The 15001-nt window shown below is 37.1% G+C and overlaps 1 protein-coding gene across 13 annotated transcripts in view; it reads right to left on the bottom strand.

The window, feature by feature from the left end:
• Nucleotides 1–459: 459 nt before the first annotated feature.
• The window catches only part of CTDSPL2 (CTD small phosphatase like 2), a 101410-nt gene continuing 86868 nt past the window's right edge, over nt 460–15001 (bottom strand). For 5 of the 13 annotated variants that reach the window (XM_005254441.3, NM_016396.3, XM_011521665.3 and 2 more), the window contains exons 9-13: nt 14838–14900; nt 14654–14733; nt 10203–10329; nt 8092–8187; nt 460–5389 (exon numbers count right to left, since the gene is read on the bottom strand). In XM_005254441.3, the coding sequence (XP_005254498.1) occupies nt 5324–5389; nt 8092–8187; nt 10203–10329; nt 14654–14733; nt 14838–14900 (432 nt within the window). In that variant the 3' untranslated portion in view covers nt 460–5323. Of the gene's footprint in view, nt 5390–8091; nt 8188–10202; nt 10330–14653; nt 14734–14837; nt 14901–15001 lie in introns of those variants that run through there. The other 8 variants (XM_047432652.1, XM_047432655.1, XM_047432653.1 and 5 more) reach the window with 4 other exon arrangements.

The following is a 15001-nucleotide window of genomic DNA, read 5'->3' as shown; positions in this document are numbered from 1 at the left end:
AGAGACTTACATTCTAGTCCTAGCTCTGTGATCTTGGGAAAACACTAAAATAGAGTACACCTAGAACTTGAAATTTCCTTCTAGTTTAAAATGAATTATTACCTATAGGTCTAGTTTGTACCACTGTATATTCCTTACATTTTATAAGAACATTTTGTTGGCTAAATAGACTTACAAACTTGAGAAAGCTTTGTATTCATGAACAAACATAATCATACAAAATGCCAAGGCACTAGGAAACAGAATATTATGGTGATAACTAAATTCAAGTCTCCCAGAGGAACTGCATAGTCTTGGGTCACAGCTTTCTCCAAGTCTCAATTTCCTTTATGTTTTTCAACATCAAAAGGGAAAGTAATGTGAAAAAAAGATATGCTTCTAAACAAAAAAAAGCACTGTACAAATGTTGTTAGAAATTATATTGTTTCTGATGGCTGATAAAATATCATCAAAGAGAAGTGCTTCCATAAAAGTTTTATTTATCCCCACAACAACCCTGTGAGGTAGGGTGATCAGGGCATTTGAAGATGAGAAAACTAAATCTACATTACTTGTTCACGGCTATACTGCATAGTAAATAAGAAGAAATTAAATTGAGATTTTAAAATGTCCATGACTTTAATATTGATTCACGTGGAAACAAGGCAGAGAGAATATTAACTCCCCCCTACCTTAATGCCAAAAGGACACTGCCTTGAAAAATCCCATTTCAAAAGATGAAAGTAGTATTTCATTGCTTATTTCTACAAAGATTTATAAAATAAAAAAATAGTGAAATATTTTACAGATAATATATATAATGGTCTCATTCAGGGACATGTCCTTTAGCTATGTATATGGTCAACTATTCCAAGTCCTAGAAATGCAAACCCTTAAAAAATATGAAAGACAAAAATGATAATGAGCAGTAGCCTTAATCTTCTTTATTATTCCTCCATGTATCTTGAATAAGCTCTGTGAAATCTGGTCCCAGTTTAAAAAAAAAAAAACTCTACCACAAAGAGATGTCTGGTGAACTTTAATTTTGTTGCCTACTCTCAAACCAGTGTCACATTTAGCTAAAACATTGATTACCCAATACTGGCTATTAGAATCACCAGGAGAGCTTTAAAGAAAAAACAAAACAAAACAAAACAAAACCAACCAAACAAAAAAAAAAAGCCAGAACTCTCAGGCCCCTCTCGAGATCCAGCGAGACAATTTTCCAGGGGTAGGCTCCAGGAATCTATTTTAAAAGCTCCTCAGAGTAATTCTAATGGTCAGGTTTCGGGATCAACTGATGTATCTTAAAATACTAATATCAAAAGCATAAACTAGTATAAACTTGTCGCTCTCTCCCCCGCCGCCCCACCCTTTTTTAAAAAAGATCTCAAATCATGTTATATCCCCAGAACTCTTGCCTCTGGGCAAGTAATTTCAATTCAAGATACAGAGAAACATTTTATAAAAATGTACCCTAGTTAGTGAGACTTGGATTCCAATAATAACTTAAGTAGCATTTAAATATAAGATACTGAGTTTTGTGGTTCATATTCTGAAAATTCTTAAATGTATTTTATACATGTTTGTCGTAGGCTTTCAACTCAGGGGAAGACATGAGAAGTAATGACATCAGCACTAAAAAAATACTATACTCAATTATAGCTCATGAGAGGAATAAGAAAGTCAATGAATGACAACCCTAAGGCCTTTTGGCCCATACATTTTTGTTCCCAGTCCACTCTTCCCCTATAAGGGGAAATAAAATAAACATTCTTTACTAGTTGCTTGGCATAGTTATTCGGTGGGTAACTATTAACTAAGTTAATTTAGATACACAAGATTAAAAGATAACAAATAAATACCTAGGAAGACAAAGAGAAGTCAGGTCAGAAAACCTTAACTAGCTAATGATGTAGTATATAACACCATCATATTAGTACAATTAAATAAAGGCTTCAATGTCCTTTACATTTTAGCTTTATGTGATTGACACAGACATGGAAGAGATCTGGTCCTTATGAAGAATTCTGTGCTCGCAGGAAAGATCTGTAGGAATAATGAAATGCTTTCTTCATTGATGAGATGAAGTCTCTGTTTTTCAGGCAAGTTGACAGAACAAAACAATGAGAAACGAACTTCTTTAGAAGGTTGAATGAAAGTAAGATCTAGATGAAAAAGTCATTGGCCAAAGATAATTTTTTAAAAAAAACATTCTATGTTAACCCTTGGAAAAAAAAACAAAAAACAACCCAGAGAAATACAAGAAAACAATGTACACATTCATTTCACTGACAGTTACAAGAAAATAGCCGTTTATAGAAGTTACACAATGCTTTCAACAAATCCCAAACAAATTTTGGGAAACAGATAAAGCCATTGGGTAAAAATAAATATACATACTAGCTAATATAAAACAATTTATGGTTACGAATTGTCATCAATTCTCTTAGGACACAAGGAGAAATATGGTGATATAAATCTGATGAGGGCTACATATATTACATGGAATTAAAAAACAACTGATTAAAACATCCTAACAATGATACAAATATTTAAAAGAATGTCTTAAAAGTCAGACATTTACCACTGGAAATAGCACGACTTTAATATGTACTCCAGAGTTGTAATGTGTATACAGGTCACTTTCGCTGTGTCTCATCAGGTATCCACCTCTCCTGCATTTACTAGTCAGTTTTTTAAGAGTTCATGTTTCCTGTGTGAGCTGAAGGGGCTGGGCACATTTCAATTTAAAAAATACACACCTCCGATTAACTAAATGGAAGTTTTTTACATCTACCAACAGATAAAGAAAAGAGAGGATAATGGGAAGACAAAACATTGTATTAAGGTAGAAGGAAGCTGGATAAATTGTCTCTGTAAATTATCTTAAATTTTGTATTAACAAATTTAAAATGACTCAAATAAAATAACAAAGAAAAATATATTAATTTGGCCTCAAGGAATTTTCTCAAGCCATAAAAAATTTTCTTAGTTTATTTCTTTACGGAAGTATCTTATGCTTGATCAGCTGACTTAAAGGAACTCTCCTAGTGTGGGACTGAAAACAACTTTATCATTGATAAAAGATGATTAGTTTAAAAAGTTGGTTTTTATTATTGAAGTGCCCACAGGCACAAGAGTATAGGTGCTTACATTTCCCTTTAGATTATGGGAAAGCCCTTTTGAGAATGCACTAAATCAGGAAATCTTTCAGCAATCAGAATGCATGCTGAAAGTTCAGATCTTTTAAGTTTTGGGTTTCGCTGTTTGAGCATAAAAAGGAAGGGAGCAGGGAGAAATGTAACTAGGTTCACAATTTTGAGCAAGAGCATATGTAAAGGTAACGTATGTACATTTTATTTCAAGAAAGACAGAAGACAAACAGCATAAAGATGCCCAGATGCCCTAAAGATAAATACATTTCAAAGATTCTCATTAAAATGAATCTGTAGTATTTTTTTCCTGCAAGCAAAATACCTTTCTTTAAATAAAATTAAAAAAATCAGTATTCTGAATTGCAAATGCTTTTGTTTTTTTTTTGCAGAAAATCTGCCATGATTATTTTTTTAATGAATAAGGATTTTCCACAAAACAGGCTTGCTCTACATGCTAGATTTTTAAACAGTTCAGTGACACAATATGCTAACTACATACACAACAGATAATATAGTAAGAAAACACTCAACCTGATGAAAAGTTAAAATCTTCATTAATACACTGAAAATTGACATAACTCATGCCTTTAAAATCAAAAATACAAAAATTAAATGTTTTCCTAAAAAGATTTCCTTATTTTAAGGATTCATTTGAAAATGAAGCTGCATGTAATTTGTACAGTAAGTTGTACAAGTAAACAGGTAATATACATAAAAAATTAATTGACATACTCCTCAATTATCAGTTGTCCACCTTTAATTTCCAATACTGTACTTTCTTAACAAGCATACAAAATATCAAACTTCTCTTTAGAAAAAGTGCCGTTCTTTGACATCCTTTACACAAAAACAGTCTGAGCCTGTGGCATGTTAATGCAGTTGAGAGGCAAAGCATACGAACTTTTACAAATTCTACCTTCCATAAAAAGCCTCCCGAAAAGGAGATTACACGCCACTATAAAAATATCAACCTCTTGTGGTAGCTGCATTAGAGAACCAAGGCTTGAAGACTATTTTCATATAGCATAGAAAAACCACTATGAGAGCATATTAACTGCATTGGTGGCTTGGGAGTGTACTGTGCCACAGGATTATGCATAGCTACTGTTAGGTACCAAGACTGTTATACAGTTTTAAATTGATTGTAACTGAGAGCATAACAGAGGTACTACCAGCCCATGCAAAATAACTAAAAATACTGAGTCACTGTGCTGAATACTTCATTCCTGGAGAAAACCAAAGGCAGCAGTAACTAAATCAAGCCAAACAGGTGACCAAACTTTCTCCTCAAAGATTTGTGAGCACAGTGAAGTCTGAGGTATACCTTTATCCATTAAATCTGTGTGCCATTGCAAGATATTACCATTTGAGAATATACGCCATCACAATGGTTTAAATCTTTTGTATATTAGTCATTCATATATTCTTATCTACCCAGTCTCTTGATTTTTGAAAAGATTTCACCTACAGTAGAATATTACAGAAACAAAATATAAATGCATGTCTTTCTAAATGAAACTTACATAGACTAAAAGTAGAGAATATTTTTAAACAAATATACAATGTGCAGGCAGACAAAGCAGGAAAACGGCCATTCAAATGTATAATAAAAAACTAAAAATTGACTATCTCCAGAAAACTATGAAGCGCCTCAACTAAAAGGAATGCATAATGAAATTCTAATCTAATACAGGTCAAAAATGTAAAAAGGTTATAAACCTTAACAGGAAAAATAAAACAACTTTTACTGGCCATTCCTGTTGAAATGAGAATCATAAAGTAACAGAAAAGTGGCTACAAACCCACTTAGAGCACCAAACAGAGAGAAAATAAAAGTCCATTTTCATCTCTGTTATTATCATAAAATCCTGTGTGACTACAGGTCAAACTGCTGGTGGCAGAAACAGAATTCTTTATAAACTGCAGATGTCCTGTACATAAAAAATTTCACTGGAGTTGCACTAGTTCTAAAGACTCTTCTGTTTTAGCCTACCTACTATATGTATTCGATCTGAGATAGATAAAGTCTCTTTCTGTAACCCTTAATTATTATTGGGCACCAAAGATAAGAAAAGCAAGACGGGGTACAAAAATGCAAAATTTCAACAGTAATGGCAATGTTTTTGTCTTAGTCCAAAAGGGTCCTGCATTCTCTCCCCCTTCAGTGATTTGACAAGTCTTTGTACTTAATCTGGGGGCAGCAAATCATGCAAGCGAAATCTGTCTCTGATGTGTGGTCGAACATCTTCATTCTGCGTGGAAAAAAGACAATTTTTAAAAAGGCATAAAATTTCAAAGATATGATCCTCATAACATACATTCTTACCTTGCAGAGAAAACATACCAGTTTTTATTTTATGACATATTTTATTTGCCAAATAGAGATACTACACAGATGCAGTTAAATTTAAGATTTTGAAAAGAATTTCGTTGAAGATTTCTTTTTTAAATTTTTGTTTTTTCAGACAGAGTCTTGCTCTGTTGCTCAGGCTGGAGTGCAATGGCACAATCTCAGCTCACTGCAACTTCTGCCTCCTGGGTTCAAGCGATTCTTGTGCCTCAGCCTCCAAAGTAGCTGGGACTACAGACGCCCACCACCATGCCTGGCTAATTTTTTGTAATTTTTGTAGAGGCAAGGTTTCACCATGTTGGCCAGGCTGGTCTTGAACTCCTGACCTCAGGTTATCTGCCCACCTTGGCCTCCCAAGAAGATTTGTTTGTTTGTTTATTTATAAATGAACGAATGAATGAATGAATGACAGGGTCTTGCTCTTTCACCCAGGCTGGAATGCAGTGGCACAATCCTGGTTCACTGGAGCCTCAAACTTCTGGGCTCAAGCAATCCTCCCACCTCAGCCTCCTGTGTAGCTGGAATTATAGGCACACACCACAATGCCCAGCAAGCTTGCTTGCTTATGTATGTATGTATGTATGTATGTATGTATGTATGTATGTATGTATGTATGTATGTAGAGATGAGGTCTCACTATGTTGCCCTGGCTAGTCTCAAACTCCTGGCCTCAAGCAATCCTCCCACCTTAGCCTTCCAAAATGGTGGGATTACTGCTGGGTGCAGTGGCTCATGCCTATAATCCCAGCACTTTGGGAAGCCAACGCAGGTAGATTACCTGAGGTCAGGAGTTCGAGATCAGCCTGGCCAATGTGGTGAAACCCAGTCTCTACTAAAAATACAAAAATTAGCCAGGCGTGGTGGCGGGCGCCTGTAATCCCAGCTACTTGGAAGACTGAGGCACGAGAATCCCTTGAACATGGGAGGCGGAGGCTGCAGTGAGCCGAGATTGCGCCACTGCACTCCAGCCTGGGCGAAAGCACAAGATCCTGTCTCAAACAAACAAACAAAAAACAGTGGGATTAAATAGGTGTGCACCACTACATCCTGCCAAAGTTTCATCAAGCAATAGAGGCCAAACCAAGACAGGTAAAAGGGAATTCTACTTTCTACATTGGTCTTTAAAGCTAAGTGTTCCATGTGATATAGAAATAGAATTCCCAGAATAAAGTTTCAGTAGCATAAGCATTAATTCTAGATGTGAATTATAAGACCAAAATGAAAAATTTAATTTTGTTTGTTTGTTTTGTTTTGTTTTGAGACAAAGTCTCACTCTGTTGCCCAGGCTGGAGTGCAGTGGTGCAATCTCGGCTCACTGCAACCTCCGCCTCCCGGGTTCAAGTGATTCTCCTACCTCAGCCTCTAGAGTAGCTGGGATTATAGGCGCCCACCACTACGCCCAGCTCATTTTTATATTTTTAGTAGAGATGGGGTTTCACCATGTTGGCCAGGCTGGTCTCGACCTCCTGACCTCAAGTGATCTGCCTGCCTCGGCCTCCCAAAGTACTGGGATTACAGGCATCAGCCACCACACCCGGCCAATTTAATGTTATTTCTAACACAACTGCTTAGCAATTTGTAAGAGAAAGACCACTGAAATAGTAAAGACATTCAATCTATAAATTCTTAAGTACTGATAAGCATAATGTTAATATAATATATAAAGTCTGAAAATGTGGTTGGGCATGATGGCTCACGTCTGTAATCCCAGCATTATGGGAGGCTGAGATGGGCAGATAGTTTGAGCCCATGAGTTCAAGACCAGCCTGGGAAACACAGTGAAATCCCATCTCTACAAAAAATACAAAAATTAGACAGGCATGGTCGCACATGCCTATAGTCCTAGCTACCCAAGAGGCTGAGGCAGGAGGATAGATTGAGCCCAGGAAGTCAAGGCTGCTGTGAATAGTGATTGTGCTACTACATTGCAGCCTGGGTGACAGAACAAGACCCTGCCTCAAAAAAGTTTGAAAATGCACATAATCTTTTTCAACCTTTGCCCTCATCTCCCATGACAGATGACTTTATCATCATCATCATCATCATGTTTTTTTTTTTTTTTTTTTTTTTTTTGAGACGGAGTCTCGCTCTGTCGCCCAGGCTGGAGTGCAGTGGCGCGATCTCGGCTCACTGCAAGCTCCGCCTCCCGGGTTCACGCCATTCCCCTGCCTCAGCCTCCCGAGTAGCTGGGACTACAGGCGCCCGCTACCACGCCCGGCTAATTTTTTGTATTTTTAGTAGAGACGGGGTTTCACCGTGTTAGCCAGGATGGTCTCGATCTCCTGACCTCGTGATCCGCCCGCCTCGGCCTCCCAAAGTGCTGGGATTACAGGCGTGAGCCACCGCGCCCGGCCCATCATTATGTTTTAAAGAGCTGGAGTCTCACTATGTTGCCTAGTATGACCTCAAATTCCTAGGCTCAATCAATCCTCCTGCCTCAGACTCTAAAGTAGCTGGCACTACAGGCGCCTATGATGGCACCTGTGACCTGGCTCACAGTTGACTTTATAAGTCAGTACACACAAAGCAAAGACATTTAAAAATATTTATTTCAATATAGTTGAGCTAACAAAAACACAACAGAAAAAGATAAGCTACACTTACCAGTTCTACAAGCTTCTCCAGGAATGGAATCAATTTTAGGAGTTCATTGTCATTTTTATCCATAAACCAACTTTCTATAGGGATTCCATTAGAAAGCTAAAACAATAAATAAGTAATTAAATCCTCTTTTACTTATATTTTACCTAGTTTGGAAAAAGTTAAAAAATAAACAAAGATTTATTAAGTAAACACTGATCTAAAAGTTCCTTTGAAAAGTAATGTCACCAGACTTTTCTTTGACAACTCAATAGTGCAAGAGACAGAGGATAAGGAAATAAATTGAAGCCTATTGGTTTTTCAGTGTCATTTCTTCTCAGAGTATATAAAACTAAACAAGAAAGTTCCATTAAAATACATTTTATAAGGATCATTAATATAAATAAAATATTCCATTATTCCTTCAAGAAATAGTTACAATTAGTACAATGCTAGGTAGGCACTGTGAATGATGGGACACTGCCAATCTAAAGAGAATATAGAAAAGCCTATACTTTTTTTTCCCCTTAAATACAGTGACCATATCTCCCATTCATTATTCTATTCCCATCGAGTAGGATGATAACTTGAAATATAGTAGAAACTTAACAAATTAATGGTATTTCATTGAAGAGGAGCCTAAAAACAAGAATGCAAGCCATATTTATTTTATGGTGAATAATCTCTGGGATAAAATGTTTTAAAATTTAGGCTAAATGTTGTATATGAGATGGAGGATAATTGATATAATTTTAACTAGGAACCAAGATGAAATTCTTAAAAGACATTTTTAAATGTAAACAAATAAAAGTAAGGACCTAAATATAACTTAGTATCATATACAGCTTTTCACTTGTTTTCTTTTTATTATAGACATTTTGAAACACAGGACAAATCTAGTTTATACTCCAATCCACTTTGCATCATCCCTATTCTGGACTGGCTTATTGTGAAGCAAATCTAAGAAATCCTATCACATGGGGCTGGGTGTGGTAGCTCACAACTGTAATCCCAGCACTTTGGGAGGCTGAGACAGGTGGGATCACCTGAGGTCAGAAGTTCGAGACCAGCCTGGCCAACACAGCAAAACCCCGTCTCTACTAATAATACAAAAAAATTAGCACGGCATAGTGGCGCGCACCTGTAGTGCCAGCTACTAAGGAGGTGGAGGCAGGAGAATCACGAACCCGGGAGGTGGAGGCTGCAGTGAGCTGAGATCGTGCCACTGCACTCCAGCCTGGGCGACGAGCAAAACTCCGTCTCAAAAAAAAAAAAAGGAAAACAAAAAAAAGAAAAAAGAAATCATATCACATGGACATATTCATAATCTAAAATATACCTTGAAAGGATGACTCATCAGGCAGGCGCAGTGGCTCACACCTGTAATCCCACCACTTTGGGAGGCTGAGGCAGGCGATCACCTGAGGTCGGGAGTTCGAGACCAGCCTGACCAACATGGAGAAACCCCGTCTCTACTAAAAATACAAAATTAGCCAGGCGTGGTGGCAGACACCTGTAATCCCAGCTACTCGGGAGGTTGAGGCAGGAGAATCGCTTGAACCCAGGAGGCGGAGGTTGCAGTGAGCCAAGATCACGCCATTGCACTCCACTCCAGTTTGGGCAACAAGAGTGAAACTGCTTCTCAAAAAACAAAAACAAAAAAAAACAAAAAAACAAAAGGAAGGAAGGATGACTCATCTACATTTGTAGTTATACGTCAAAGAAATATTAACAAAGGGTACAAATATATTGACAAAATAGTCTAAGAAAATATTTCAGAACATTAAACCAAATAACCAGACCAGAAGAACATAAACTAACTATAGTACTCAAATATGTTTATGATTAAATTACTAATTACTGATTTAATAACTGATAAGAATGCTATTCAATGATGCTTATCTTATAGTTTTCTTACTCAGGTTTTTCTTCATTTATGCTGCATGTCATTTAAGTAAAAATTTTCCAAAAGGAATATACCACTTTGTCATTTCTAATTCTAAAAAAATGACACATTAAAGGGAAATTCCACCAGTGAAAATTCTCTTCTTCTTCTCCCATCATATTCTGTTTGGCAGCATGTGTCTTCATTGTATTTTTTCCAATCTGAGTTTGTTTATCAACTTTCTTCCTACCTGATATGCAAAGGCTTGTGGTGAGTTGTCAATTATTATAGTTTTTGAAAGATCTCTTCCAAGAATATTTAAGTCCTTTATATAGTTTCCTTGTACACAAACACAATGTTCACGGAAAAGCCGGTGCCTAAACATAAAAATAAAAACAAATTAAAAAAAAAAAACTTTCTAAAAAGTAGAACATATACACATATATATACACCATAGGCTTTATAGTTTAAGCCATATGATTTTCTCTCTTGAAGGAAATTCAAACACAAATATGGGTCTAAGCGTTGGGCTGCCATTTTACTATAAAAATTCTAAGCAATTACTGAAAGCTTACAACCAAATATTACTATGCCTTAAAGAACTTGAGTTTATCCCAAAATGTTATTATTAAATTATAAAGGGGGATTAAAAACTCTAAATTGTTTTTGTAATTTATTTACCCAAGAAAGCTCAGCTCAGATGCAGCATCTGGTTGTCAGCGAGGTCCTGCTTTTTAACCAATTTTCCAGATGGTTGACTGAGGAACAAGGAGGTCAAGTGACTTGCCCAAGGTCACACAGTAAGTCAGTGGTTAGCCCCGCATTGGAACCCAGGATCCTCCTGGCTCCCAGTCCTTGGCTCTAACCAGTGGACCACACAGCCTCCCTATCCCTGTACATGCCAGAATAGAAAATATAAGAAGGAATGTTTTTGTGTTGGCATTTGAAAAAATGCTTTTTAGATTTCCTTATTTTTTTTGAGAAAAGGTCCTAAGACCAAAACATTCCATCATTTCAACTTTTCCTAAACACCCCTCTTTTAGTATATGTGTATGATCATTTGAAAAAAGATTAAGTGAAATGAGGAATTCAGATTTAAGTATCAAGTATTATAAATGTAAACTGATATTTCACTCACATAGAAAAATACTACATCATTTTAGAAAGCTATTAAAGGTTTTACAATACTAAAGTGATTATTATAATCTCAATTTATACTCAAAATACTAGTCTCTGAACATTACTAATAATTGTTTCATATAATTTTTTTCTACCTTGAAGTACTCTATTCTGTATATATTAATAATTGGTAAGTTGTCTTCCTTGTGTCTTAATCACACTAACAATTTTACAAAATCTAGGACCTATTTGGACCTGTATTTTAAATTATGCAATTTCAAGAAACTGGTATTTTCTACCCACAAAATCTGTCACAGTGCTACCAAGAATAAATAAAAATCTACATATACACACACAAATAAAAACTCAACCTTAAAATTATCAGTGCCAGTTGGTATGGCAAAAAGGAAGAATTTAACGAACAGACAAAATGTATAAGCAGTTCTTTCCCCCTTATTATAAGGAATAACTTTAATAATCACAGTCAAACGATCATCTGGCCCCGGGAAAGTTTAGTCAGTTCTACTTTGAAAAAACAACAACAAAAAAGACTAAGTAAATTAATTCAAGCCTTGGTTGGGCCTAAATAAGATTCACTGTTTTATTTCTATAAACATTTAGATATGAGGAAACTGGAAAGGCAGATACAGCATGTAAATTCAAGTCACTGTTGATGCCTCTTCACCGATAGTGGCAAACTCATTGAGACAGGAGACAACTGAATCTGTACGTGGATACTACAGTTATTTTAATTAAATTACAGTAAAAGCCTTCCAATTATTCATTCAGGAATCTGAGGGTGTATAGCATGTATTTGCATTTTTAGAAAAAAACTATTTGTACCAGTCATCAAAGAGCAGATCATCCATGTGAGTACAGACTTGTGTTAGAAACTCATGAGATTTAGAGATCACAGGAATTTCTTTTTTTCTTCTTTTTTTTTTTTTGAGACGGAGTCTCCCACTGTCGCCCAGGCTGGAGTGCAATGGCAGACTCTCGGCTCACTGCAACCTCTGCCTCCCGAGTAGCTGGGATTACAGGCGCCTGCCACCATGCCCAGCTAATTTTTTTTGTATTTTTAGTAGAGACGAGGTTTCATTATGTTGGCCAGGCTGGTCTTGAACTCCTGACCTCGTGATCCGCCTGCCTTGGCCTCCCAAAGTGCTGGGATTACAGGCGTGAGCCACGGCACTCAGCCTAGATCATAGGAATTTCTTAGAGTCTACCTTGTCACCAACACAGACAATTCCCTATAGCACTCACAATCTACTCTTTGAAACGCTTTTGTTGGCCAGGCGCGGTGGCTCACGCCTGTAATCCCAGCACTTTGGGAGGCCAACGTGGGCGGATCACGAGGTCAGGAGTTCCAGACCAGCCTGACCAACATGATGAAACCCCGTCTCTATTAAAAATACAAAAATTAGCTGGGCGTGGTGATGCGCGCCTGCAATCCCAGCTTATCAGGAGGCTGAGGCAGGAGAATCGCTTGAATCTGGGAGGCCGAGTTTACAGTGAGCCAAGATCGCACCACTGCACTCCAGGCTGGGTGACAGAGCAAGACTGTTTCAAACAACAAACAAACAAACAAAAAAACAAGCTTTTGTTTCAGATTTCTCAAAATACATCTAGATAGAACAAATGGAAACCCTCAAGTGTGTAGGTTTTATAAATCTAGTTTAAAAGAGGATTGTTAATTTATAACACATTGTCATAACATGACTATCATTTGTTCCTCATTAGTAAATGAAAGCTCCAAGAGGGAAGAGCTTGTGTTGCTCACCACTGTTCCCTGGAATACTGGAGATGCTGAACAGAAATCATTATAATGAATGAAGTCATCAAAACAAAATCACTGGGTATACTTTAGTAAAGTGAGGTAAAATTAGCATAAATTACAATATACTTTTGTGAACAGAAAATACCATTTCCCATTTGTGTGACTGCAGCTTACTTATTTTGACCCTTTAGATTAAAAAACAAAAGATACCACAGCTTTATTTAGAATAAAAAACCTTCCAAAATATGAACATTAGGAAAAGCCTTTCAGTATACTTGCAACCACTGAATAATAAAGGTACTGTTAACAGCAGAAAATACACTTTAGGATTTTCCAGTAAGACAACATGGGAAAAGTATTTAAGAAAATTTATACTCAGCTGGGCTGGGTGCAGTGGCTCACGCCTGTAATGCCAGCAGTTTGGGAGGCCAAAGTGGGTGGATCACTTGAGGTCAGGAGTTCAAGACCAGCCTGGCCAATATGATGAAACCCCATCTCTACTAAAAACACTAAAAATTAGCCAGGTGTGGTGGCACACACCTGTAGTCCCAGCTACTCGAGAGGCTGAGGCAGGAGAATCTTTTAAACTCAGAAGGCAGAGATTGCAAACTGCACTCCAGCCTGGGCAACAGAGTGAGAATCCGCCTCAAAAAAAAAAAAAAAGAAAAAGAAAGAAAGAAATAGAGAAAGAGAGAGGAGAGAAAGAAAGAAAGAAAGAGAGAGAGAAAGAACGAACGAACCAACCAACCAACCCAGCTATTAAAGTCTTTTTTTTTGAGATGGAGTTTTGCTCTTGTTGCCCAGGCTGGAGTGCAACGGCACGATCTCGGCTCACCATAACCTCCGCCTTCCGGGTTCAAGCGATTCTCCTGCCTCAGCCTCCCGAGTGGCTGGGATTACAGGCATGCGCCACCACGCCCACCTAAATTTTGTATTTTTAGTAGAGACACGGGGTTTCTCCATATTGGTGAGGCTGGCCTTGAACTCCTGACCTCAGGTGATTAGCCAGACTCAGCCTCCCAAAGTGCTGGGATTACAGGCGTGAGCCACCGCGCCTGGCCCTATTAAAGCTTTTATGAGCCGTTTGTGTCATCTCTCTCAGCTTTTGATCAAAAATTCAAAGATTAACCCCTCCTCTTAAAGGATACAGCAAGACTGCTGCAGTCTTACTATCTCACTTCAGCTGACAAAATAATGGAACTAATTATCATAATATTTTAAAATCACCACGGCACTCCCACTAACCAGGAAAACACTGCATCTGCTGGCTCAGGGCACACACAAGGAACTGAGTCCAGTCAGGATAACCTGAGTGACTAAACCCACTGTAATTTCCAATCAGATTCATGTAACATTTTCTTTCCATGGAAGATAAATTTGCTTTCAAAAAAAGCAAGGGCTTAATTTGATCCTTTCTGTTAAAAAATAATTTTTATTTCTCTATGCCATTAAAAAGTAAATTAACATGCATTACCTCAGAGACATATGGAGATGAAACATCATGCACAACGTGGAAAAATTCCACACAACCCCCCCAACCCCCGTCTTCCCCAATCCCAAAAGAAATGAGGATATAGATGTCACAGTGAATAAAGGCACTGGATCTTTGTATCCTTTAAAGAACGTCTGTCTGGAGTTCCATCATTAGGAACTCTTTTAAAGAGTTTAGGGGCTTAAAAAATTCATTTATATTCACCATTCAACACATATGCAGCCAACTGAAAATGGCCATTAAAATGAAATAGAATCAGTAATTTCATAGATCAGTGTGACAGACATTTCCACTATTTCTTAATTAAATTTACCTGACCAGTTGCTTTTTAGGGTCTAGTATGTTCAGTAACTTGTCTGCATACACCTTCTTAGAAGCAGTAAAAAGAATGATCTATAAATTCAGGGGAAAAGAAGTAATCATTATACATGGTCTAAATATGGGTACTATATTGAATAAAATAAAAATACATATGTAATTAGCTTAAGCATGTTTACCTCATACATCTGAGACATTCGTTCCAGGAATTCCCTGAAAAATGGTCTTAATCTCACATAAACCTAAGGAAATACAAAGATAAGTTTCAGCAAATAAACATACAATGGGAAACCACTTCTTTTTAAGATGTGCTGTATTCTAACTTTGATTATAATGAAAAAGT

Source organism: Homo sapiens, chromosome 15 (assembly GCF_000001405.40).
Source record: "Homo sapiens chromosome 15, GRCh38.p14 Primary Assembly".
NCBI lineage: Eukaryota > Metazoa > Chordata > Mammalia > Primates > Hominidae > Homo > Homo sapiens.
The sequence above is the reverse complement of the archived record's forward strand: the minus strand, read 5'-3'. Positions and strand labels throughout refer to the sequence as shown.